This window comes from Homo sapiens, chromosome 5 (genome assembly GCF_000001405.40).
Source record: "Homo sapiens chromosome 5, GRCh38.p14 Primary Assembly".
Classification (NCBI taxonomy): Eukaryota; Metazoa; Chordata; class Mammalia; order Primates; family Hominidae; genus Homo; species Homo sapiens.
The window spans coordinates 138,274,623-138,302,354 of NC_000005.10; the positions used below are offsets into that span (position 1 = coordinate 138,274,623).

Genomic DNA, 27,732 nt, shown 5'->3' on the forward strand with positions numbered 1-27,732 from the left:
AGGGACCGCGGGGGTGGGGGCGGGGGAGGGCCGGCGCCCCGGGAGCCGCCGGGCTTGGTGCGGAAGAGGTTGCTCTTTCCGAGGCGGCCCACCTGCTGTCTGACAAGTTCGACTAGCAAGACATTGTGGAAGCTGCCGCTGGAAACTCGCCATCTAGGAGAACCAAATATTTCTCCAAGAAAAGCACCCTTTCTCACTTTCTGGATCCCACTCACCCACACATCAAAGAACAGACACCACCACAAAAGAGATTTTGTAACAAAACTTGAACAAGCCAACACAAGGGCACTTGCATTTCTAGTATTTTTCTTAGAATTTGCACATCTATGATCTCGTTTTTTCCTCTCCTAAGTGTCTTCTAGGGTAAGATTGGGTGGTTATTAAGCTCAAGATGCTGCAAAGATGGGTCGCAGACAGGTGGAATGGCTTTGCTGGGGGAGCAGACCTGGGGCATTAGATTCCAAAATTCAGCCCCGATGGTGTCGTGAGGGAAGATGGAAGATTAAACTCTCCACTAAATAGCAGAGATTTCCTTGGACCAAAGCTCACTGAGGAAGGTGCCTGGAGAGACCATTTAGGAGCCCATCCTTTTCACATGATGAGACTTTCGGAGAGCAAGCTACTCTATCAGGATTAAACAACTAGGTAGAAACACATCTGTGCCCAGAACACAGGACGTCTACCCATAAGGATAAGGGTATTTATTGGGCCTGGGCCTGATTCCCACAAGATCCCAGGATAAAGCCAGAAGCAGAATGGCTTGGAAGAATGAGAACTAAGCAGCGCATAGAAAGAGAGAAGGAGAAGAGGGTGATGAAAGGAAGTGGAGGGTTTCATCCCCTAACCCTCTAACTTGACCCCCTCCTTACTTCCACAGCCAGCCTGGCAGAGGGCCAGCAGGGAGTACTGAGAATCGCAATATAAACCTCTGAGATTTATTGGCTGCTGCTTCTGAATATGGCCATCCTGCTGTGGCCTCTGGGGGGCATTTGCCGATGTAATCAGCCCAGAAAGAGAGTCATTCCAGCTGGGGGTGTAAATCACCCTTGGCAAAGCTAGGAGAGAGACATGTGGCCCTAGATAAGGAAGGAGACTGATGTGGCCTCTGTGCCCTTCCCTCCCTTCTCCTGCCCAGGGGGTGCTGGTTCCTGAGCTGTAATGCACTTTAAATGGAGTTTGTCCTTCGTTTTAATCTATATCTGCCCTGCCAGTTTTACAGAAGAGCTGTAAAAGTGAACATCTGGCTACTCAGCTTTTGTACAAGGCCTGTTTTCCCCCAGCTCCACCCTATCTCCATGTGCCTTTCCCAAGCCCTCCTCTCCAGAAAGGTGAGGGAACATGAAGCTGGGGGGCTACCATTAAAGGCCCCATGATGTCAGGCCCTCTACCCCATTGCCAGAGAGAAATATGCTCCAGGCACCTCATTTTCTCTCACACCTGCTATTACAGGCAGACAATCGTTTTTTGGGTTTTTTTTTTTGAAACTGACAATACTTAAGAAAGGAATTTATAAAGCAAAATGTAACAATTTCAGGCTCTTTGGGATGATAGGAAAGGGCTGAGACCCATGAACCAACAAAGATGTGAGGTGGTCAAGGGGTGTCTCCTCTGCCCTCCCCCTCCTCCAGCCCAAGCCAAATCATGTTATGGGCAGGAAGAGGGTTTGGGAAAGGAAGTTTGCTCAGGGTGCCTACTCTGATAGATACTCAGTGTCTATTCCAGGGCTGTCCCCACAGAATAGACCAAGAATGCAGTATCAAGCTGACGGGCTGGGAGCAATGACCAATCCCACCTGTAACAGGCCAGCCTTTTCATGAGAGAAAATAAAGTGTCTGGTGCATATTTCTGTCTGGGTACAGGGGTGGAGAGCCTCATATCATTGGGCCTTTAATGAGGATTGGAGAAGCTCTGCAAATAAATATGACTCCAAGACTAATATTGACAGCCCTCCAGCACACCCTCTCCACCAACCATGTCCTCTGTGACTGCCAACACCTGCTAGATAAGCAGCATTGCCCCTTGTGGACAATGACAAATGAGCCAGTCCTTTCTACAGAGATGATGTTACTCATCCATCATTCAATTCAATAATGTGTTTTGAGAATGATTATGAGCCCAGCTTTATGCTAGGTGCAAAATGATTAAGACACAAATCCTGCTCGGGGAGGGTGTTACAATCCACTGATTGCAACTCAAATGCCCAAAGACCCTGTATCTTATTCCACTTTCACTTGTAATCTCAATTTTCTCCTCTTATGGTCAGATTACATGGATTCTACCTTCTCTCAAGTCCTCTCTCTCTCCATTGAGCTTTAATTCCTGCTGCTATCCTAATCCAGGATGTTAGCAGTATAATAAATAGTTAAGACCACAAGCTTTACAGACTGCCTAGATTCAAATGCCGACACTAGCTGGATGACCTTGGGCAAGTCACTTAATTTTTCTGTGCTTCCATTTCTTCACCTGTAAAATTAAGGATAATAGTATCTATTTCACATTGTGAGGATTAAATGAGTATAGTATTTAAATGAAGGTGTAGGCTGGGCGCGGTGGCTCACGCCTGTAATCCCAGCACTTTGGGAGGCCAAGGTGGGCGGATCACGAGGTCAGGAGTTCAAGACCAGCCTGGCCAATATGATGAAACCCCATCTCTACTAAAATTACAAAGATTAGCCGGGCATGGTGGCACATGCCTGTATTCCCAGCTACTCGGGAGGCTCAGTGGGGCAGAAGAATTGCTTGAACCCAGGAGGCGGAGGTTGCAGTGAGCCAAGATCATGCTATTGCACTCCAGCCTGGGCAGTAGAGCGAGACTCCGACTCAAAAAAAAAAAAAGAAAAGAAAAAAAAAGGTGTAGCATTATACCTGGCATATAGCAAGCATCGAATAAATATCATCCCAGGTAGCATGCAGGAGTTAATTATTCTGTGTGTGAACTTGGCCAGACCCCACCACCCGACCTGCTGATTTGGAGCTGGAAGTGGCACTTTTTGCTCCTTTTGCTGAATATACTACTAGACCAGAGTGCTTGTAGGGATGGAAACAAAAAGAGCCATTTTTTATTTTTCTACCTTGTCAATTTCTTGAGGGCAGGGACTGTGTCATATTTTAACAACTGTGATACTCAGAATTGGCAACTCCAGATGCATATGTTTAAAGGAATTGGTGTTTCCTTAACCTATGCCTGAACAGAACAGGGAGAGAATCCCCCATGCCTCCTACTTTATACTCCTGATAAAGAAAGGGAAATATTCCTCCTTAATATAGTTTGGATATTTGTCCCCACCCAAATCTCATGATGAAATGTAATCCCTAATGTTGGAGGTGGGGCCTGGTGGAGGTGTCTGGATCATGGGGGTGGATCCTTCATGAATGGCTTGGGCCATTCTCTTGGGGATAAGTGAGCTGTCACTGAGTTCACAAGAGATCCAGTCATTTAAAAGTGTGTGGCACCTCCTCCCATAACTCCCTCCCTCTCTTGCTCCTGCTCTGGATATGTGACATGTCTGCTTCTCCTTCACCTTCTGACATGATTGTAAGCTTCCAGAGGCCTACCCAGGAGCTGAGCAGATGCCAACACCATGCTTCCCATAAAGCCTGCAGAACCATGAGCTAATTAAGCTTCTTTTCCTTATAAATTGTTCAGTCTCCCAGGCAAGCATGGTGGTCAGCCAGGCATGGTGGTGTCGGCCTGTAGTCCCAGCTACTTGGGAGGCTAAGGCAGAGGTTGCAGTGAGCCAAGATCATGCCACCACACTATAGCCTGGGTGACACAGTGAGACCCTGTCTCCAAAAAAAAAAAAAAGCCGGGCGCGGTGGCTCACGCCTGTAATCCCAGCACTTTGGGAGGCCGAGATGGGCGGATCATGAGGTCAGGAGATTGAGACCATCCTGGCTAACACGGTGAAACCCCATCTCTACTAAAAATGAAAAAAAAAAATTAGCCTGACGTGGTGGCGGGCACCTGTAGTCCCAGCTACTCGGGAGGCTGAGGCAGGAGAATGGCATGAACCCAGGAGGCAGAGCTTGCAGTGAGCTGAGATCATGCCACTGCACTCCAGCAGGGGTGACAGAGCAAGACTCTGTCTCAAAAAAAAAAAAAATTACCCAGTCTCAGGTATTTTTTTTCTTTTTCTTTCTTCCTTTTTTTTTTTTTTTTTTTGAGACAGGGTCTCACTCTACTGCCCAGGCTGGAGCACAGTGGTGCAATCATGGCTCACCACAGCCTCAACTTCACATGCTCTAGTGATCCTCCCACTTCAGCCTCTCAAGTAGGTGGGACTACAGGTGCACACCACCACACCTGGCTAATTTTTAAAAATTATTCGTAGAAGGCCAGACGCAGTGGCTCATGCCTGTAATCCCAGCACTTTGAGAAGCCAAGGCAGGTGGATCACCTGAGGTCAGGAGTTTGGGACTAGCTTGACCAACATGGTGAAACCCTGTCTCTATTAAAAATACAAAAAAATTAGCCAGGCATGGTGGCAGGCGCCTGTAATCCCAGCTACTTGGGAGGCTGAGACAGGAGAATCACTTGAACCCGGGAGGCGGAGGTTGCAGTAAGCCAAGATTGTGCCATTGCACTCCAGCCTGGGCAACAAGAGCAAAACTCCATTTTTTTTTTTTGAGACGGAGTTTCGCTCTTGTTGCCCAGGCTGGAGTGCAACGGCGCGATCTCGGCTCACTGCAACCTCCGCCTCCCAGCTCTCAGGTTCAAGTGATTCTCCTGTCTCAGCCTCCCAGGTAGCTGGGATTACAGGCACATGCCACCATGCCCGGCTAATTTTTGTATTTTTAGTAGAGATGGGGTTTCATCATATTGGTCAGGCTGGTCTCGAACTCCTGACCTCAGGTGAGCCGCCCGCCTTGGCCTCCCAAAGTGCTGGGATTACAGGCGTGAGCCACCGCACCCAGCGAAACTCCATCTTAAAAAAAAAAAATTCTTCGTAAAGACAGGGTTTCACCATGTTGCCCAGATGGTCTCAAACTCCTAGGCTCAAGTGATCCTCCAGCCTCAGTTTCCCAGTGTTAGGATTACAGGGTATTTCTTTATAGCAAAGGAAGAATGGCTTAATACATTCCCTTCTCTATGGCAGAGGTCACCCAGGTCCTGGGCTGAGATTGACAAGAAGCAATTGCAAAAAAAAAATTTATGTATATTTTTTGAGACAGAGTCTCCCTCTGTCACTTAGGTTGGAGTGCAGTGGTGCAATCTCAGCTCACTGCAACCTCCACCTCCCGGGTTCAAGCAATCCTCCCACCTCAGCCTCCTGAGTAGCTGGGACTACAGACATGCACCACTGCACCTGGCTAATTCTTAAATTTTCTGTAGAGACAGAGGTCTGACTATATTGCCCAGGCTGGTCTCAAACTCCTGGATTCAAGCAATCCTCCCACCTCAGCCTCCCAAAGTACTGGGATTATAGGCTTAAGCCACCGCACCTAGCCCAAGAAGCAGGTTTTTGTTTGTTTTTGATACAGAGTCTTGCTGTTGTCACCCAGGCTGGAGTGCAATGGTGTGATCTTAGCTCACTGCAACCTCCACCTCCCAGGTTCAAGTGATTCTCCTGCCTCAGCCTCCTGGTAGCTGGAATTACAGGTGCCTGCCACTACTCCTGGCTAATTTTTTTTTTTTTTTTTTTTGAGACAGAGTCTCCGTCACCAGGCTGGAGTGCAGTGGCCCAATCTTGGCTCACTGCAACCTCCACTTCCTGGGTTCAAGCACTTCTCCTGCCTCAGCCTCCCGAGTAGCTGGGTATTTTTAATAAAGACGGGGTTTCACCATGTTGGCCAGGATGGTCTCGATCTCCTGACCTCGTGATCTGCCCACCTTGGCCTCCCAAAGTGCTGGGATTACAGGTGTGAGCCATCATGCCTGGCCTGTTTGTATTTTTAGTAGAGATGGGGTTTCACCACATTGGCCAGGCTCCTCTCAAACTCTTGACCTCAGGTGATCCACCCTCCTCAGGCTCCCAAAGTGTTGGGATTATAGGCATGAGCCACAGCGCCCAGCCTCGAGAAGCAGTTTTTAGCTCAAAACATTTCTGTTCAATATTTCTTTACCTCCTGATGAATAAATACCAGTGCAAGGACACCAATGCCGAGCACACCCCCTACATAGCCTCATACTGAGGTCTCTGGGCTGGGGTTTTAGTGCCTGCTCATATCCTTATCTCTCAAGCCAAAGCAACCCTTATGGCCCTAAATTCTCAAGAGCTTACCATTGAGGCTCTTATAGATTTAACACCCAATACAGGGCCAACTCTGGAAAGGCACAGTGGTTTTTTTTTTTTAGACAGGGTCTTGCTGTCATCCAGGCTAGAGTATAGTGGATGGATCATAGTTCAATGCAACCTCAACCTCCTGGGCTGAAGCCATCCTCCTGCCTGACCCTCCCCAGTAGCTATGACTACAAGTGTGCACCACCATGCCCAGCTAAGTTGATTTTTATTCTATAGAGATGGGGTCTTGCTATGTTGCCCAGGCTGGTCTTAAACTCCTGGTCTCAAGGGATCCTCCCACTTTGGCCTCTTAAAGTGCTAGGATTACAGATGTGAGTCACTGCACCTGGCCAGGCACACTGTTCTTTGATGAAGGTTTGGTAACAGCAAAATCCATGAAGTGGACAGGCTCTGGAGCCATACTGTCTTGGGTCAAATCCCTACTCCACCATTAATTAGCTTTGAGATCTTATTACTTGACTAGGTGCAGTGGCTCACGCCTGTAATCTCAGCACTTTGGGAGGCTCCAATTGAAGACTAGAGCTCAGATTGCCTCCATGAAAGTTAGAAGGGAGAGGGCTGGGTGCGGTGGCTCACAACTGTAATCCCAGCACTTTGGGAGGCTGAGGCCGATGGATCATGAGGCCAGGAGTTCGAGACCAGCCTGGCCAACATGGTGAAACCCCTTCTCTACTAAAGATACAAAAAATTAGCCGGGCATGGTGGTACATGCCAGTAGTCCCAGCTACTCAGGAGGCTGAGGCAGAATCGCTTGAACCTGGGAGGCAGAGGTTGCAGTGAGCCGAGATCGCGCCACTACACTCCAGGTTGTTAACAGAGCGAGACTGTGTCTCCAAAAAAAAAAAAAAAATTCAAATTAGAAAAAAAAATGCAGGCCAGGCGCGGTGGCTCACGCCTGTAATCCCAGCACTTTGGGAGGCCGAGGTGGGCGGATCATGAGGTCAGGAGATCAAGACCATCCTGGCTAACATGGTGAAACCCCGTCTTAACTAAAAAATAAAAAAAAAATTAGCCGGGCATGGTGGTGGGTGCCTGTAGTCCCAGCTACTCGGGAGGCTGAGGCAGGAGAATGGTGTGAACCCAGGAGGCGGAGCTTACAGTGAGCCGAGTTCACGCCACTGCACTCCAGCCTGGGCGACAGAGTGAGACTCCGTCTCAAAAAAAAAAAAAAAAAAAAAGAAAAGAAAAAAATACAAAAATTATCCAGGTGTGGTGGCAGATGCCTGTAGTCCCAGCTACTTGGGAAGCTGAGGTGAGAGGATTGCTTGAGCCTAGGAGGTGGAAGTTTCAGTGAGCTGAGATTGTACCACTGCACTCCAGCCTGGGCAACAAGTGAGACCCTGTCTCAAAAAAAAATAAAATAAAATAAAAAAGAGTTAATCCCTCTGTTCCTCAATTTCTTTATCTTCATAAAGAAATGCTCATAATAATGAATACCTCTTTCACAGGCTTGTGAAAATTAAATTAGTGTGTATTTATATAGGAGTTTATATATATATATATATATATATATATATATATATATATATATGAGTTTAGAGATAGCCTTGTATACAGTAAGCACCTGAAAAATGTTAGCTACTATTGTTATTCCTGAAAATAACATGAATCAAATCATATAGTCCCTATACAATGAGAGGATATTACAAGAAATCAGTGGGCTTATATTAGGCCAGGCGTGGTGGCTCACGCCTGTAATCCCAGCACTTTGGGAGGCCGATGTGGGTGGATCACGAGGTCAGGAGTTCAAGACTAGCCTGACCAACATGGTGAAACCCTGTCTCTACTAAAAATACAAAAATTAGCCAGGCGTGGTGGTGCATGCCTGTAATCCCAGCTACTCGGGAGGCTGAGGCAGGAGAATTGCTTGAACCCGGGAGGTGGAGGTTGCAGTGAGCTGAGATCGCGCCACTGCACTTCAGCCTGGTGACAGAGCAAGACTCTGTCTCAAATAAAATAAAATAAAATAAAAAATACCAAAAAATGTTGACTTGGGTGAAAATACAATTTTCCATGAGGAAGATAATTAAGCCTTAGTGTTTTGTTTTGCAACTCAGATTTTCCACTTAAGACTACTGACTAGTGGGCACATGTACATCAATCTCTATCTATGTTGGGACTTGGTTCTAGCCTTCTGGGGAGAATTATCAGGAAATGGAAATGACCCACTAGGGTAGGCAGTGAGTTAAGGACCTCTCCTCACACTTCGAAGAGGTGCTTCAAGCAGTTTTCTTTTCTGGCTACTAGGAATTCCTATAGGGGCACGTGTGTGGGTGGGGCAGAGGAGCAGCATCTTTCCTTTGGCCATCTCCACCTAACGTAGCAGCAGCTTTTCTCTTTCCCCTAGACCTTCTGGGCTTTGAGTTCAAGGGATTAGGGAGAAGGCCACAGAGACAGCTTCCTTTTTGACAGACAGGCAGTAGCTAGGAATGGAAGCTACAGACTTCAGCAGGATGGCTTGGAGAAAACAGCAGTGCCCTCTGCTGTGAAGCATGCATGTGACACTCTAGGGCAAGAGCATGTGCAAACCTTGTCAAATAAAAAAATTAAAAGCCAGTCCAACCACTCAGGCACGTGCATGGGCCGCCCTATGGCTACAACCCCCCTTCCCTCCCACTCACTTTAAAAAAGTGTCTCTGTTCCAGAGCCTGGGAAGAGGGTATGTTTGTCTCTGTTCTGTCTCAGCCTAGGCTGTAGAGGGCTTCGTCCTGTTCCGTCCTGGGCTATCAGTCCTACTAGGTTAATACCAGAGAATGACAATGTTCAGTCAGTTCTACTGCCACCCAAGACCAAGTAGTGCCACACCTTACTACAGATAAAGGCCTATTCATATTAAAAAGCTCCAAGAAAGGAAACCCTGGCATACTGCAGAAGAGTACAGTTAAAAAATCTTCCTGAAGTCTAATGGATCTTGCTTTGTTTTATTCCTATCTTCATATATCACAAATCTCTACTTCCAACCATCCTAAATCCTAAAACTTGTCTTTGTGAGACGTGAAATGGAGTGGAGAAAAGACTTAAAAGTCAAAACCCCCCTAAGGCTATAGATAGGGAACTTTTTTTTTTTTTTTTTGAGATGGAGTCTTGCTTTGACACCCAGGCCGGAGTGCAGTGAAAAATCTTGTTCACTGCAACATCTGCCTCCCAAGTTGAAGTGATTATCCTGCCTCAGTCTCCCGAATAGCTGGGATTACAGGCAGCCACCACGATGCCTGGCTAATTTTTGTATTTTTAGTATAGACGAGGTTTTGCCATGTTAGCCAGGGTGGTCTTGAACTCCTGACCTCAGGTGTTCCGCCAGCCTCAGCCTCCCAAAGTGCTGGGATTACAGGTGTGAGCCACTGCCAAGAGGGAACCTTTGAGCCCAGCTGAGATCTGTCATTTGCCTTAGAGAATGTCTAGATACCACATGCTGCTGAGTCTGTGGTGCACTTTTAGTAACGCATACCATGGAATGATCTAGGAAAGGAAAGCCCAGGACATTGCTGAAGAAAACTGTTTGAAAGGCTTACCTTAATTCCAGAGCATTGGTTCATTTTTTTTTTGAGATGGAGTCTTACTCTGTTGCCCAGGCTAGAGTGCAGTGGATTTTGGCTCACTGCAACCTCCACCTCCTGAGTTCATGCAATTCTCCTGCCTCAGCCACCCTAGTAGCTGGGATTACAGGTGTGTGCCACCATGCCTGGTTAATTTTTGTATTTTTTTTAGTAGAGATGGGGTTTCACCATGTTGGTCAGGCTGGTCTCGAACTTCTGACGTCAAGTGATCTGCCTGCCTTGGCCTCCCAAAGTGCTGGGATTACTGAGCACTGGTTCTTAAGCCTTACCATGTATTAGAATTAACTGAAAAGGGAGATTTTTAAAACCCAGATTTCTGTGCCCTAACCTCACAAGTTCTGATTTAAGAGGTCTGGGGTGAGGCCTGAACATCTGTATTTCAAACAAGTTCAGATGATGTTGATGATCTAGGGTCCAAACTTTGAGAATTACTGGTTGTTTGGTATTTGTTTTTTGAGACAGTCTCTCTCTGTTGCCCAGGCTGGAGTGCGGTGGCACGATCTCATTGCAACCTTCACCTCCTGAGTTCAAGCGATTCTCCTGCATCAGCTTCCTGAGTAGCTGGGACTACAGGCACACGCCACCATGCCTGGCTAATTTTTGTATTTTTAGTAGAGATAGGGTCTCACCATGTTGGCCTCGAACTCCTGACCTGAAGTGATCCACCCGCCTCGGCCTCCCAAAGTGCCAGGATTACAGGTGTGAGCCACGGCCTAAGAATTACTGGTTTAGAGAAAAGCATGTTGGCCTCAGCTATGAATAAAGATAGTATGTCTGAAGTAGTCTAACTTGGTGATCTCCTCTGTAGACAGATCTTCTAGGAGCAGGCTAGGCTCACAATCACACCTCTCATTCTGTAGTGTTTATTTTTCCATTTTTAAAAAAGAAAGAGGGGGAAACAAAGAAGGAAAATACAAAGAAAGAAGGTAGACAACGCTCTTGCATAGCCCGAAGCCCAGAGAGAAAGAGTTGGCTGGCTTGTGAGAAGACATGAGGAGTTGGGAAAAGGAATGCCAGAGTTCCCTGAACCAATACAAATCTCTATGCAACTCAAGGCTGCCTTATAGAGCCAGCTCCAGGACTCTGCCACCAGCTTTCAGCTCTGCTGAAACCTAATCCATTCCCAGGCCTGGATACAAGTTGGTAGCCTGTTGGTTTGCAGAGACATCTTTTAATAATCTTGGGTTTGGCCATCCAGAAGGCCTCTTTCTGCTCAGGGTTTCTGCAGTGTCTTTTGGTGACTTGTTAGCAGCCAGTGGCTGGAATGTTATCATGGGCTCATGTCCTTCACCAGAAGGGCAATCTGCTCCCGCAGCTGCCGCTCCCCTTCCTGCACTTTGCTCTGGCTTCGACACCTCAGCAACTCAGTCTTGTGGTCCTGATGATGCATAGGGCAGTAGCTCTGTGGTTCACACAGTTCCTGAAAGGTAAGGAACAGAGTAAGGGATTCTCTAGACTCCTGAACTCTACCTATGAAGGATAATAGAGATGCTGCTGCTGGCAGTGGCTAAGGAGGAGCAGCAGTTTCTTCTCTGAAGGCTTTGCAGGCCCTGGGAGTTGAGTTGTTAAAGTTTGGCTCCCCGCATGCCCCACCCTTTACCATATATTCTGGAAAGAAGTCTCTGTAGCCGCCTTTAAGGATATATAGCTCTGGGTAGTACAATGCAGGATACTGGTTCAGAGACCTGTCCTCTTCACGCAGACAGCGGCACCTTTAGAGAGAACCCAGAGATGGGTGGGGTGGAAAGAAACAAGGTCAGGATCCCAGGGGCCATTCACTGGGGAGGGGGGAGAGGAGTAGACTATTGCCAACCTCAAAAAGGACTTTCCAATCTCCCTGTGTTTGCAAAAAAAGGTCCAAGTAGTACCACCCTTCCTCCTTTCCTCCACTGCAGCCTCATTCTCAATCCCTTTTCCTTTATTGTTTCAAACTTTTCAATTTTAGAAACGTCTTCCTTCAACCTCCCTAACATTCTTCAAACTGTAGAATCCAGTCAGTCTCTGTCTGAACTGGTGTGGGAAGTCCAACTCAAAATCCATTTCCATCACCCGCCAGACCCCATTTAGACACTCACATTCGGGGGCCCCTCTCTGAGGAGAATTCACAGTGGAACACGATGATTATTCTCTTCTGGGTGTCCAAAGGGACGATGGGCTTCTTCAGAAAGAAGTTAAACAGTTCTTCCTGACTATATAAGTTTAAGGCTCCCTGTAGAAGAAGAATTTTAGTAAGTATTTCCTCAGGGGCTTATAGACAGTGCCAATACTTAGAAATGACTGAGACGCCAACCTGGGATAATGTGGACCAGAAAAGCTGGACTATAAGCACCTTTAGGGCAGGGGTCTAAGTATATCTCTGTATATACCCTGAACGCCTGGCATAGAGCTTGTAGATGGTCAATAAATGTTTATAGACCTGAACCACTGGAAGTATAGAGATCACTGCGAGGAATGTTCATGAATAGTAAGTGTTTGCAAAGTGCTTCAGTCCTTGGATTAATGTTTTTATTTCTAGGTAGGACCCCTTGGCTCCTACAGAAAAGAGGGAGATAGATCTAGGAGGGAAAGGGAAAGTAACCTGCTTAAGGTATACAGAATTAAAACAATGAGGACCTCAGCCTTGAGGTGCTTCAAATATGTAATCTTTGTCCTGACTCTAGAGTTCATAGACCCCTTTGTCCACAGACTCTTCTCAATAAAGAGTTATCTCCAGCCCTCCCCTACTAATGGCCACAATGTCGTCTCACCTGGATGTGTCCTCCCAGATACTCATATGGATAGCGACAATCAATGACATAAAACTTCTCAATCAGACCCTGGAACTTCCCCGACAGTAAGGCAGCCACCTGGACAGAAACAATGACTGAATATTCTGCTCACTGCCACTCTGAGGGAGAGAAGGGTCAATGACACAGTTCCTTACAAGCATACTCCTGTTCTGTCCACTGTATGTCCAGCCTCCAAAGTCACCCCATATTTGATATGTGGCAATGATTCAGCCCCACTCCACAAAAGAGAATGAAACAGGAAGTGGCCCTTTTAGAGAACCAAAATAGCTGGCACTGACAAGATACCAAGGAAAACCATATTCAGGCTACCCATCTGGGGATAGGCATGGCTGGACTCAGGAGATGCCCAAGGACTTCTGCAGTGGCAGAGGCAGCAGCTAGAGAGCTTGAAATTGCAGGAAGAAATGCAAAATGGTTCCCTACCCACCATCAAAAAGGAAGAAAGTAAGTCTTTCAGGAAAGGATATGGAAGGGAAAGGTTGATACCTAAAGGAAGGAAGAAACTGAAGCTACTTGTAGGAGTGCAAATTGGTTCAGCCTTTCTGAAGGGAACTTTGTAAATACATATACAAATAAATGTAATCACACTTTGACTCAGCAATTTCTAACATCTTAAGTAAACAGGAAAAGTACACAAAGATGTAGGCACAATTATATTCATCTCAGCATTGTTTTATATTATCAATATATTAGAAATAACTTCAATATTCAATAATAGGGGTTTGGTAAAATAAATTGTACATGTCAGTAGAATAGAGCGGCATTATATAGCCATTAAAATGATAATATAGATACCTTATTGATATAGAAAGATGTCTATAATGTCTCACTAAGCAAATTGCAATACTATACGTTCATCATGATCCTTTTTTTTTGTTTTTTGAGATGGAATTTCGCCCTTGTTGCCCAGGCTGGAGTACAATGGTGCCATCTTGGCTCACCGCAACCTCTGCCTCCCGGGTTCAAGCAATTCTCCTGCCTCAGCCTCCCGAGTAGCTGGGATTACAGGCATGCGCTACCACACCCAGCTAATTTTATATTTTTAGTAGAGACGGGGTTTCTCCATGTTGGTCAGACTCGTCTCGAACTCCCAACCTCAGGTGATTCGCCTGCCTTGGCCTCTCAAAGTGCTGGGATTACAGGTGTGAGCTGTGCTAGGCCCATGATCCCATTTCTATAAAACATATGCTAGAATAAAATCTGGGGCTGGGCGCAGTGGCTCACACCTGTAATCCCAGCACTTTGGGAGGCTGAGGAGGGTGGATCACCAGAGGACAGGAGTTTGAAACCAGCCTGACCAACATAGTAAAACCCCGTCTCTACTAAAAATACAAAAATTAGTCGGTGTGATGGCTGGCACCTGTAATCCCAGCTACTTGGGAGGCTGAGGCAGGAGAATGACCTCCGGGAGGCAGAGGTTGCAGCAAGCCGAGATTGTGCCATTGCACTCCAGCCTGGGCAACAAGAGCGAAACTCCATGTCTAAAAATAAAATAAAATCTGGAAGGCCATAGGAAAATATGACTAGTGGTTATCTCTGGTGATGAGATTGTGGGTATGGTGACCAAATAATTTTTGTACAAACTGGGAGACTTTTGAGAATGAAAGCAAACACTATTAATAATTACCCTCACTAATAGATGAAAATGGGATTGTAAAATGTAAACGAGGGTGCATGGTCACCCTAATTGAGACCTTAATTGAGACCATTTCTTGTGTGTGATTTTTTATTTTCCTTTCTTTCTCCCTTTTTTCTTAAGTAATTATTATTTTTTGAGACAGTCTCGCTGTGTCGCCCAGGCTGGAGTACAGTGGCACGATCTCTGCTCACTGCAACCTCCCCAACTGGGGTTCAAGCAATTCTTGTGCTTCAGCCTCCCAAGTAGCTGGGATTATAGGCACACATTACCACGCCTGGTTAATTTTTTTGTATTTTTATTAGAGATGGGGTTTCGCCATGTTGGCCAGGGTGGTCTCGAATTCCCTGCCTCAAGTGCCTGAGATCTGCCTGCCTCAGCCTCCCAAAATGCTAGGATTTCAGGCGTGAGCCACCATGCCTGACCCCTCCCTTTTTCCCTTTTACAAAAACTATGTATCATTTGTTTAACTAAAAACGAAGGAGAGAGAAGAATGGGGAAAAAAATGAGTCCTTCAATATAACTTCAGTTGAATAAGGAGCCTGTGTGAGTGAACACAGTGAAAGAAATACAAATGGAAATGGGCATTTTAGGGACAGAAGAGACCAGATGGTAGCTTATGTAACCAGTTACCATCTCCAGAAATCTGCTTACTGTTTCTGGGTTGACATACTTCAGATCTTGGTGTTTCCCTGACACGGTTGGCAGCGCACATACCTAGAAATACACAAGAGCTGAAATAACAGCAAGTATTCCACACCCAAGTTTGAGATCAAAGACCCTTATTTTGTCCTTCTTTCCAAGTGACCCTTAAAACCCCAGAGGCCTTCAAAAAAATCAGTGTCTCTATAAAGTGCATATACATCAAGTCCATTTCTAAGAACTGATCCTAAAGAACAAATCAAGGATGTGTACGAAGTTTTAGATTTCTCTACAAATATATTCATCTTGGTATCATTCATAAGAAAAAATTGTAAAACCAAATATCTTACAAGAAGGGATTTATGAAGAAATTATGAGCAGCCAAAAAAAAAAAAAAAAGAAATAATATGGAGCTATTAAAATGAAATGGGCTGGGCATGGTGGCTCATGCCTGTAACCTCAGTGCTTTGGGAAGCCAAGGAGAGAGAGGATTTCTTGAGGCCAGGAGCTCGAGGCTGAAGTGAGCTATGATCATGCCAATGTACTCCAGCCTGGGCAACAGATCAAGACCTTGAATCTTAAAAAAAGAAAGAATGAAGCATAACTGCTTATTAATATGAAAAAAGATGCCCCTGATATAATTATTAAATGAGAGGAAAAACAACAGATAACAAAACAATATAAACTGTTTTTGTAGAAAAGCAAAAACTGTATTTGTATATGTGTTTGTGAAAACACAGAAAAAAATCTGTAAGAATATGTACCTTCTGCAATTACACAGACAGTAGGGGGGAAAAAAAGAGTATATACTAAGCAATATTACCCTGGTTAATAAAGTTTGGGATAAATTTCTTCATTTTCTACTTTTTCTGTAACAACCAAGTATTATTTACATAATTTTAAAATATGTTTTTAAACAGAAAAAAGGTAAAAAGTCTCATACTTTCCCCTGTTCTGGATCTTCCCAGAAGAATAAGAAATACTTTCTCTCTGGAAAGGCTTAGGGCCTGGATCTACCACTAGAGCACTGTCAGGTTACCAAAGAGTACTTGGTGAGGATGCATATTTACACCAGGCATTCTCGGCAAACAGAGAAGATTCAGATCCAAAATGACTCACTGAAATACAGGATGGGTGTAGCCAAACTCACCTTGGAAAAATCACCAATCAGGTGCCCCTGGTTAGAATCTTCCTCCAGCATCTGAGTGATAGTAATGTCACACAGAGAGACTGTCTTCTTTAAACATAAGCCCTGAAGATGACAAGATTCCCACCCCACACCCAATCCTCATGTTAAAGGTTTAAAAACCAGTGGATGGAGTGGGCCATGGTGGCGCACATCTGTAATCCTAGCTACATGGGAGGCTGAGGTAGGGAGATCACTTGAGCCCAGGAGGCCAAGGCTATAGTGAGCTACGATTGCACCACTGCACTCCAGTCTGGGAGACAGAGTGAGACTCCATTTGTTTATTTATTATTTTTAATAATAAATAAATATTGAGGCTGCAGTGAGTCAAGACCATGCCACTGCAATCCAGCCTGGGTGACAGAGTGAGACCCCATCTCAGGGGAAAATAAATAAATAAATAAATAAGTTGATTTTATAAAATATCCAAAGATTTTAGAATTTTAATTTTTTATTTTATTTTTTTTTATTAGAGATGGGGTCATGCTATATTGACCAGGCTGGTCTTGAACTTCTGACCTTAAGTGATCCTCCCATCTATTTAATTTTTTTAAAGTTGGGGAGGGTAAAGGACAAAGGCTAAGTTTTTCAGAAGTTGCTTTCCACAAAACCAACCTGCTATATGATGTTGTTTCTGTCAGACTGCATGTAAAACAGCAGTAAAATATCCATACCAAAGTTCCCTTGTATTCTTTCAGATCTTAAGAAAAAGGGTTGGGAAGACGGTATGATGACAACATTTCTCTTTTTTTTTTTTTTTTTGAGACGGAGTCTTGCTCTGTTGCCCAGGCTGGAGTGCAGTGGCACAATCTTGGCTCACTGCAACCTCCACCTCCCGGGTTCAAGCGATTCTCCTGCCTCAGCCTCCTGAGTAGCCGGGACTACAGGCACATGCTGCCACGCCCAGCTGATTTCTTGTATTTTAGTAGAGACGGGGTTTCACCGTGTTGCCCAGTCTGGTCTTGAACTCCTGAGCTCAGGCAATCCGCCCGCCTCGGCCTCCCAAAGTGCTAGGATTATAGGCGTGAGCCACTGCACCCGGCCTATGACAACATTTCTAAAAGTACAATATAGATATACTTTATGTATCTATGTTATATAAATATTTTATATATATATATATATTTCACGTGGATACAGATGTAGAAAAGACAGAAAGATGGAAAGAACAAAGAGGAAAAAGTAAAAGTAAAGAGGAAGAAGACAAAAAAGGCATAATAAAACAATCCTCATACCAGAAAAGCAAAGACATGAGATAGAAGATGAACAAGATTTTCATCTTAAAAAGTTCTTACCTTCCTGAGCTTTCCTTGGCCAGAAAAATACTTTTTTTTAACTTTATCTGGTATTGTGTTGTCCTTGAATTTTTCCACCTGCTTCAGTCTTGGCCTGTTCAAGTTCTCTGGCATCGACGGGGAGCGATATAGGCCACTTCTGCTCACCTGTTTGGGAATATTAAACCCCCTAGTTCTTACTCCTCCAAGTGTGTCTGCAGACCTGCAGCAACAACATCTCCTGGGAGCTTCTTTGAAATGCAGGTTTCCAGATGTTAGGCCACACCCCAAACCTACTGAATTAAAATCTGCATTTTAACAAGATGCCCAGGTGATTTCTCAAGTTTGAGAAGCCTTGGGTAGGCAACCTGTCTTCATAGGCCCGTTAATATCTTTCTACCTGGACTGCATGATATTCCATCTCCATGGACGTCTTAACTAGCCAAACCAAATTCTGCAGCTGACTGTCTTAGATGCACCAGTTCTTCTAACAGAAAGCAAACACAAGCTCAGTCCCTCCAGTTATGTGACCAAAAAAAAAAAAAAAAAAAAAAACATAAGTCCATTTTGTCTCTGGGATCCTAGGACATTGACAATCAGGATTTAAGGACCTCAACAAACCTAAAGATGAAAAGCCAAGAAGAAAAATAGCAAAAGAAGCATCATGCAAGAAAAAAGGACACACTAAAATCAAATAGCATGCTGACCATTATAGGATGGATACTATGAAACCCATCAGGGAAAAAAAAGTGGCTCAAACGTCATGAAGAACTAGCCTTGAGAATTGCTTACACAGGAACAGATTAAAGTATAAGAGGATAGACTGTTGTTTATTTGAAAGGCATGGTTTGGGTGCTATATTCAGAGTTGAGGGTCTATCAAATGACCTCTGATAACACCTTCCAACTAATCCACAATTCTATCCTCTGTTGCCACATACTTTGAGATCTCTACCTCTCACCTAGAGAACAGGCAAAAGCTCCTTCTCTAAACACTTATCGCACTACCTGTTATGGACTGATTTAGGAGGGGGGCTATACAATAAGAGAGCCATAACTGGAAGGCAGCTTGATGATCAATGGTTTCTGGAAGAACGAAATAAGAATAACAACATTTTGCTTTATGACAGCTATGGATATTATGTTGTTTATCACACACATGGTCCTACCTCTTGTTCGTGATACCAGCTGATGGTACCGTCCACATTATACGTACCCTTAGACTCCTTCCAAACATCGCCCTATGTCCCCATCCACCCTACCCCCCAGACACTGATGACTGGACCATATTGCTGGTTGAACACATCTATTTAGTGGTCTAGAATAAGCAAAAATAATCTAGGCCAATCAGGTTCCCTCTCTTGGTTGCCTAACTTGGAAGATGGAGAAATAATTAGGCAGTAGCAGAAGCCAAAGCCCAAAAGGAAGAAGCCAAGAGATACAGTCAAGGCCACGAAGCCAGTGATGCATGAATGGATCAACCAAAGGTAGGGTAGGAAAGGAGATATGGTGAGGCACTGAGGAGTAGGGTGCCTGGTCTCCATGACAGACAGGACTTCATATAACTTCAATTTTCCCCTGAGAAGGCAGGGGAAAGCTAGATGAGGATTTCAAAAGGGGCTTCTCTAGAACACACCATAATAATTATGCTAAGAGCCATATTACTAAGAGTTTGGAATTAATTAGCTAATTGAAACTTATCTTTTTTTTTTTTTTTTTGAGATAGGGTCTCGCTGTCACTCTGGTTGGAGTGCAGTGGCACAATCTTAGCTCACTGCAACCTCTGCCTCTCAGGCTCAAGCGATCCTCCCAACTCAGCCTCCTGAGTAACTGGGACTACAGATGCGCATCACCATGCCCAGCCAATTTCTGTATTTTTTATAGAGAGAGGGTTTTACCATGTTGTCCAGGCTGGTCTCGAACTCCCGGGCTTAAGTGATCCATCCGCCTTGGCCTACCAAAGTGCTGGGTTTACAGGCATGAGCCACCACGCCCAGTCTGTATCCATTTTTAAGCATTGTATCTAATAAATTTTTGCCAACTCAAGGTCACAAAAATTGTCTCCGTTTTCTTTGGATTTTTTTTTTTTTTTTTTTGAGACAGAGTCTCACTCTGTCGCCCAGGCTGGGGTGCAATGGCATGATCTCGGCTCATTGCAACCTCCGCCTCCCAGGTTCAAGTGATTCTCCTTGCCTCAGCCTCTGGAGTAGCTGGCATTACAGGTGCTGACTACCATGCTTGGCTAATTTTTTTTTTTTTTTTGAGATGGAGTCTAGCTCTGTCACCCAGGCTAGAGTGCAGTGGCACGATCTCGGCTCATTGCAACCTCTACCTCCCAGGTTTCAGCAATTCTCCTGCCTCGGCCTCCCGAGTAGCTGGGATTACAGGTGCCTGCCACCATGCCCAGCTAACTTTTGTATTTTTAGTAGAGACGGGGTTTCACCGTGTTGGTCAGGCTGGTGTCGAACTCCTGACCTCGTGATCCATCCACCTCAGCCTCCCAAAGTTCTGGGATTACAAGTGTGAGCCACCGTGCCCAACCACTCAGCTAATTTTTTTTTTTTTTTTTTTTTTTGAGACAGAGTCTTGCTCTGTCACCCAGGCTGGAGTGCAGTGGCGCGACCTCAGCGCACTGCAAGCTCTGCCTCCCGGGTTCATGCCATTCTCCTCCCTCAGCCTCCTGAGTAGCTGGGACTACAGGCGCCCGCCACCATGCCCAGCTAATTTTTTGTATTTTTAGTAGAGATGGGGTTTCACCATCTTAGCCAGGATGGTCTCGATCTTCTGACCTCATGATCTGCCCGCCTCGGCCCTCCAAAGTGCTGGGATTACAGGCATGAGCCACCGCGCCTGGCCCCGCTCAGCTAATTTTCCTATTTTTAGTAGAGATGGGGTTTCACCATGTTGGTCAGGCTGATCTCGAACTCCTGACCTCAGGTGATCCACCAGCCTCGGCCTCCCAAAGTGCTGGGATTACAGGCATGAGCCACTGTGCCAGGCCTTTCTTCAGATGCTTTATGGTTTAAGGTTTTAGATTTGGAGCTATGATCCATTTTGTGTTAATTTTAATATATGATGTACGGTATGGGTTAAAGTACTTTTATCTTTTAACGTATGGATTTCCAATTGCTCCAGCACAATTTGTTAAAAAGACTGTACTTTCTCCATTTGATTATTTTGTATCTTGGCTGAATTACCAGTTACATATATGCATAGGTCTATTTCTCAAATCTCTATTCCCTTGTTTCAATGTTTTAGGTTTCTGGTAGCTAATATAGTGATAATTAAGGTGATTAACATCTGCATATAGTCCAAGGACAAGATGTCAAAAATAAATGATAGCAGAAAACTACTTTCGCAAACAGAAACAGCTACTTCAGCGGCCAGGCATGGTAGCTCACACCTGTAATCCCAACACTTTGAGAGGCCAAGGTGAGTCCAAATCGCTTGAGTCCAGTAGTTCAAAACCAGCTTGGGCAACATGGTGAAACCTTGTCTCTACAAAAAATACAATAATTAGCCAGATATGGTAGCGTGCACCTGTAGTCCCAGCTACTTGGGAGGCTGAAGTGGAAGGATCGATTGAGCCCAGGATGTTGAGGCTGCAGTGAGCTGTGATCATGCCACTGCATTCCAGCCTGGGTGATAGTGCAAGATCCTGTCTTCTCTTAAGAAAAAAAAAAAAAAGGAAAGAGCAAGCTACTTCTTTCCTATACACTTACATGAAAATAAATGTCAACTGATTGCAAAGGATATAAGTGCTAGGCCATGGAGAGATAATGAAGATGGTACTTTAGTTCTGTCTAGCTAGTTAGAAGTTTCCCAGTTCCCAGAAGCTGGTGTGGGAAGATCCCAGGATCATCTGGCTTAGATAGCATTCAACATCTACCCATTTTCAATCTTTAAGGAATCACCAGAGAGTTTCCAAATATGGGAGTTTTTAAACACTGAGAAAGCCAAAAAGAAGGGAGGAAAACTTACTAGATTCAACCTGCAGATTCTATTAAAAGGCTTAATTAAATAATTATTATTTTATAAACTGAATTGAATAATTATTATTTTATAAACTGGCCTACACACTCTTGAGTACACATAAGCCAGCCCGGCTTCTGTCTGCACCACTCTTCTGCTCTTGTCAAGGCTATCAACAGCCTTCATGTTGCAGCATCTGACAGTCACTTCTCTAGCCACATTATCTTTCTGAACCTCATGTCGGCTTCCGTTAAGTTAGCTACTCCATTTTTGATGGCTTTAATGGCACCTCCTACTCTTTTAGTTATTTTTATTTATTTATTTATTTATTTTTGAGATGGAGTCTCCCTCTGGAACCCAGGCTGGAGTGCAGTGGCACGATCTCAGCTCACTGCAACCTCTACCTCCTGAGTTCAAGCGATTCCCCTGCCTCAGCCTCTCAAGTAGTTGGGATTACAGGCGTGCACCACCACCCCTGGCTAATTTTTGTATTTGTATTTTATTTTTTTGAGACAGAGTCTAGCTGTGTTGCCCAGTTTAGAGCGAAATGGCGTGATCTCAGCTCACTGCAACCTCTGCCTGCTAGGTTCAAATGATTCTCCTGTCTCAGCCTCCTGAGTAGCTGGGATCACAAACATGCGCCATCATGCCTGGCTAATTTTGTATTTTTATTTTATTATTATTAATTATTTTTTTTTTTTTTTGAGACAGAGTCTCGCTCTTTCACCCAGGCCGGAATGCAGTGGCGCGATCTCGGCTCCCTGCAAGCTCCGCCTCCCAGGTTCACGCCATTCTCCTGCCTCGGCCCCCAGAGTAGCTGGGACTACAGGCGCCCGCCACCGCACACAGCTAATTTTTTGTATTTTTAGTAGAGACGGGGTTTCACCGTGTTAGCCAGGATGGTCTCAAACTCCTGACCTCGTGATCTGCCCGCCTCGGCCTCCCAAAGTGCTGGGATTACAGGCGTGAGCCACCACGCCCGGCCACTTTTTTTTTTTTTTTTTTTTTTTAGACACAGTCTCGCTCTGTCACACAGGGTGGAGTGCAGTGGCACGATCTCGGCTCACTGCAAGCTCTGCCTCGCGGGTTCACGCCATTCTTCTGCCTCAGCCTCCCAAGTAGCTGGGACTACAGGCATCCGCCACCACGCCAGGCTAATTTTTTTGTATTTTTAGTAGAGACGGGGTTTCACCATGTTAGCCAGGATGGTCTTGATCTCCCGACCTCGTGATTCGCCTGCCTCGGCCTGCCAAAGTGCTGGGATTACAGGCGTGAGCCACCGCGCCTGGCCATTATTATTATTTTTTAATTTTGTATTTTTAGTAGAGACAGGGTTCAACTGTGTTGGCCACACTGGTCTCGAACTCCTGACCTCAAGTGATCGGCCCACCTCGGCCTCCCAAAGTGCTAGGATTATAGGCATGAGCCACTGTGCCCGGCCTAGTTCTTTATTTCTAGTACAGGCAGCCCCTACACTAGAAGAACTATGATGCTTCTACCTCTGTGCCCTCTCCTCTGCTCCTTCTCAATTTTCTTTGTTAGGCCTCCTTACCTATCAAACCTCTAATAGATGCTGGATTCATCAGGGCCAGGCCCTGGCCCTTTTCTCTTTTATCTCCTCCCTCTAGCCATAGGTAATTTCTTCTACCTGTGAATTTAAATTTTCACTCTAAGCTAATGATTTCCAAATTTCTATCTTTAGTCAAGTCCTCTGCTCTGACTTCAGAACTTCCAAATTCACATTTGGAAGCTTGATACGTTTTGAGTACCTACTAGGTGACATAGCAATGAACAAAAGAGTAAAAGAAACAAAGAAGTAGACTAATAAATATACTCTGTACTTTTTCACATAGTGATAAATGGCATAAATCAAAACAAAGAAGGATGAAAAGAAAAACACAGGGGTTGGGAAGTCTGTCAGGAAAGGTCCTTATAAGACATATGCACAGAGACTGAAATGAGGAAGAAAATCATGCATTGCCTTGGGGAAGAAAGTTCTAGGATGAAGGAACAACAAATGCAATGGCCCTGGGTGAGAATAACAAGGCAGCCAGTGAGACAGCCACATTTAGTATGGTACCTTTTTTTTTTTTTCTTGAGACAGGGTCTCACTCTCTCATCCAGGCTGGAGTGCAGTGGCATGATCACAGCTCACTGCAATCTCGACATCCCAGGCTCAAGTGATCCTTCCACCTCAGCCTCCCAAGTAGCTGGAACTACAGGCTTGAGCCACCACACCTTGCATTTTTTTTTTTTTTTTTCGTAGAGACAAGGTCTCTCTTTGTTGCCCAGGCTGGTTGTGAACTCCTGGGGCTCAAATGTCCTCTTGCCTTAGCCTCCCAAAGTGCTGGGATTACAGATGTGAGCCACCACACCCAGTGATACCATTTTTAGAAACCTCAAAAACTAATTTAAACAATACTATAAACCAACCAGACCTAACAGACACCTAGAGAACACTCTACCCAACAACCGTAGAATACACATTCTTCTCCAGTACACATGGCACATTCTCACAATAGACAATATGCCTGAACATAAAATAAGCCTCGCCAGGCGCAGTGGCTCAAACCTGTAATCCTAGCACTTTGGGAGGCTGAGGCGGGCAGATCACAAGGTCAAGAGATCGAGACCATCCTGGCCAACATGGTGAAATCCTGTCTCTACTAAAAATACAAAAATTAGCTGGGGGTGGTGGCACATGCCTGTAGTCCCAGCTATTCAGGAGGCTGAGGCAGGAGAATCGCTTGAACCTGGGAGGCGGAAGTTGCAGTGAGCTTAGGTCGTGCCACTGCACTCCAGCCTGGTGACAGAGTGAGACTCCATCTCAAAAATAAAATAAAATAAAAATAAAATAAAATAAAATAAGCCTCAATAAATTTAAAAGGATTGAAATCACACAAAATATGTTCTCTGACCACAATGGAATAAAATTAGAAATCAGTTAACAGAAAAAATCTGGAAAATTAGCAAATTTATGAAAATTAAATAGGCCAGGTGTGGTGGCTCACACCTGTAATCCCAGCACTTTGGGAGGCTGAGGCGGGCGGATCACCTGGGGTTAGGAGTTCCAGACCAGCCTGGCCATCATGGTGAAACCCCATCTCTACTAAAAATACAAAAATTAGCTGGGTGTGGTGGCGGGTGCCTGTAGTCCCAGCTACTCGGGAGGCTGAGGCAGGAGAATTGCCTGAACCTGGGAGGCACAGGTTGCAGTGAGCCAAGATCGCACCACTGCACTCCAGCCTAGGTTACAGAGGGAGACTCTGTCTGGAAAAAAAAAAAAAAAAAAAAGGCCAGGCACAGTGGCTCATGCCTGTAATTCCAGCACTCTGGGAGGCTGAGGCGGGAGGACCACTTAAGGTCAGGAGTTCGAGACCAGCCTGGCCAACAGAGTGAAGCCCCATCTCTACTAAAAATACAAAAATTAGCCAGGCGTGGTAGGGTACGCCTGTAATCTCAACTACTTGGGAGGCTGAGGCAGGAGAATTGCTTGAACCCAGGGGGCAGAGGTTGCAGTGAGCCAAGATCACACCACTGCCCTCCAGCCTGGGGGACAGAGCAAGACTCCGTCTCAAAAAAAAAAAAAAAAAGAAAGAAAAGAAAAAGAAAATTAAATAACACACTTGTTAATAACCAATGGGTCAATGAAGAAATCATAGGAAAATCAGAAAATACTTTGAGATGAATGAAAACTAAGATACAACATACCAAAGCTTATGGGATACAGCTAAAGTAATGCTTAGAAAAAAATTTAAAGCTATAAATGCCTAAAATAAAAAAGAAGATCTCAAATCAATTACCTAAACTCCCACCTAAGAGGAAACTAAATCCAAAGCAAGCAGAAGGAAGGAAATAAAAAAGATTAGAGCAGAACTTAAGAGAATAGAAAAACAACAGAACCAAAAGTTGGTTCTTTGAAAAGATCAGCAAAAATCGACAAACTTTTAGCCTGAACAATTAAAAAAAAGTCTCAAGTTATCAAAATCAGGAATGGAAAGTGGGACATTACTACCAACCTTACAGAAATAAAAAGGATCATGAAGAAATATTAGTGAATAACTGTGTGCCAACAAATGAGACCACTTAGATGAAATGGACTAATTCCTAACAAGACAAAAACTACTGAAACTAGCCAGGTGTAGTGGTGTGCACCGGTAGTCTTAGCTTCTCAGGAGGCGGAGGTGGAAGGATTGCTGGAGCACACAGGAGTTCAAGGCGACATAGTGAGGCACCGCCCCAACTCCAATTAACAAAACAAAACAAAAGACTGAAACCATGACCAGGTAGGATGTATCCCAGAAATGCAAGGTTGATATAACATCTGAAAATCAGCCACCGTATCCCACCAGATCAATAAAATAAATGACAAAAACCATATGATTACTCATCTCTGCACGTTGTGAGGCTAAGACGGGTGGGTTGCTTGAGCTCAGGAGTCTAAGACCAGCCTGGGCAACATGGTAAAACGCTGTCTCTACAAAAATACAAAAATTAGCTGGGTACAGTGGTGCATGCCTGTAGTCCCAGCTACTTGGGAGGCTGAGGCAGGAGGATTGTTTGTGTTCAGGAGGTTGAGGCTGCAGTGAGCCGTGATTGTGCTACTGCAGTCCATTCTGGGCAACAGAGTGAGACTCTGTCTCAAAAAAAAAAAATTGATAGATTAATAGACAGAAAACTAATAAGCATATAGATGTGTTCAACAATATAAATAAACTGGACCTACTTGACATACATAGAATATTCTACTCAAGAATAGAGACTATACATTTTCTAAGTTGCACTAAACATTTACCAAGATGTTCTGAGTCATACTCTGGACCATAAAAACCAATCTTAATGCACCTAAAAGGATTTAAGTCATATAAAATATATTCTTGACAATCGAATTAAATTAGAATTCAATAACAGAAAGGTCCTCAAATATGAGGTCCTCAAAAAGTCCTCAAATATTTGCAAATAATTAAATAACAAGCTTCTAAGTAACCCCTACATCAAAAAAGAAACCAAAAAAGGAAATTGGAAAGTATTTTGAACTGAATAAAACTGAAAATGCAACATATCAAAATTTGTGAGATGCAGCTAAAGTACTAAATACCCTTATTTAAAAAGGTCTCAAATCAATGACCTTAGCTTCAACCTTAACTAAACATGAAGATCAAATTGAACTCAAAGTATCCAAAGATTAGAGTGCAAAATCAATGGAATAGAAAACAGAAAAACAATGGAGAAAGTCAATAAAACCAAAAGATGATTTTTTAAAAAGATCAATATTGATAAATCTCTACCCAGACTTATCAGGAATAAGACAGAGGACACATATAACCAATATCAGGAATGAGAGACATCACTATGGATTCTACAGACACTAAAACGCTAATAAGGAAGTATTTTTAACAACTTTATGCCACTATATTTGACAACCTAATTAAAATGGACAAATTCCTTCAAAGACACAAACTACCAAACTCACTCAAAAAGAAACAGTTAAACTGAGTAGTTCCTATCTGTAAAGTAAGTTGAATTTGTTAAAAACATTCCCACAAAGAAAACTCTAGGCCCAGGTGGCTTCACCGGTGAATCGTGCCAAACATCTAAAAGAGAAATAAAACCAATTCTATATAAACTCTTCCAGAAAATTGAAAAAAAAAGAGGGAATTATTTGCAAATCATTTCATGATGCTAGCATTACACTGATACCAATACCAAAACATTAACATGAAAAGCTAAAACACTGAAGATCAATATCTCTCATGAACATAGAGGTACACAAAAAAAAAAAAAAATTTTTTTTTTTTTTTTCAGATGGAGTCTCGCTCTGTCACCCAGGCTGGAGTGCAGTGGTGCTATCTCAGCTCACTGCAACCTCTGCCTCCTGGGTTCAAGCGTTTCTCCTGCCTCAGTATCCCAAGTAGCTGGAATTACAGGTGTGTGCCACTGCACCTGGCTAATTTTTGTATTTTTAGTACAGATGGGGTCTCACCATGTAGGCCAAGCTGGCCTCGAGCTCCTGACCTCAGGTGATCCACCTGCCTTGGCCTCCCAAAGTGCTGGGAATTACAGGTGTGAGTCACTGTGCCCGGCCTTTTTATTGAGACAGAGTCTCGCTCTGTCTCCCAGGATGGACTGCAGTGGCACGATCTCAGCTCACTGCAACCTCTGCCTCCCTGATTCAAGCGATTCTCCTGCCTCAGCCTCTCGAGTAGCTGGTACTACAGGTGTGTGCCACCATGCCCGGCTAGTTTTTGTATTTTTTTGTAGAGACGGGGGTTCCACCATGTTGGCCAGGCTGGTCTCGATCTCCTGACCTCGAGTGATCCACCTGCCTCAGCCTCCCAAAGTGCTGGGATTACAGGCATGAGCCACCGTGCTCGGCCGATGTAAAAATTATCAACAAAATGTTAGCAATGAAATCCAACAACATATAAGAAGGAT

The 27,732-nt window shown here is 44.4% G+C and overlaps 1 protein-coding gene across 17 annotated transcripts in view, besides 1 other annotated feature; it reads right to left on the bottom strand.

The window, feature by feature from the left end:
- Nucleotides 2-91: a silencer, noted in NCBI's record as "silent region_16388". NCBI's record gives its function as "represses an Ori minimal core promoter by ATAC-STARR-seq in GM12878 lymphoblastoid cells {active_cell/tissue: GM12878}" and the evidence as "EXISTENCE:reporter gene assay evidence [ECO:0000049][PMID:35858748]".
- CDC25C (cell division cycle 25C) overlaps nt 10,643-27,732 on the bottom strand; it is a 53,091-nt gene continuing 36,001 nt past the window's right edge. For 6 of the 17 annotated variants that reach the window (XM_006714739.4, XM_011543761.3, XM_011543759.4 and 3 more), the window contains 7 exons: nt 17,348-17,494; nt 16,017-16,118; nt 14,879-14,941; nt 12,547-12,645; nt 11,875-12,008; nt 11,400-11,511; nt 10,643-11,219 (listed from right to left, as the gene is read on the bottom strand). In XM_006714739.4, the coding sequence (XP_006714802.1) occupies nt 11,070-11,219; nt 11,400-11,511; nt 11,875-12,008; nt 12,547-12,645; nt 14,879-14,941; nt 16,017-16,118; nt 17,348-17,494 (807 nt within the window). In that variant the 3' untranslated portion in view covers nt 10,643-11,069. The remainder of the gene's footprint in view (nt 11,220-11,399; nt 11,512-11,874; nt 12,009-12,546; nt 12,646-14,878; nt 14,942-16,016; nt 16,119-17,347; nt 17,495-27,732) is intronic. The other 11 variants (NM_001287583.2, NM_001318098.2, NM_001287582.2 and 8 more) reach the window with 4 other exon arrangements.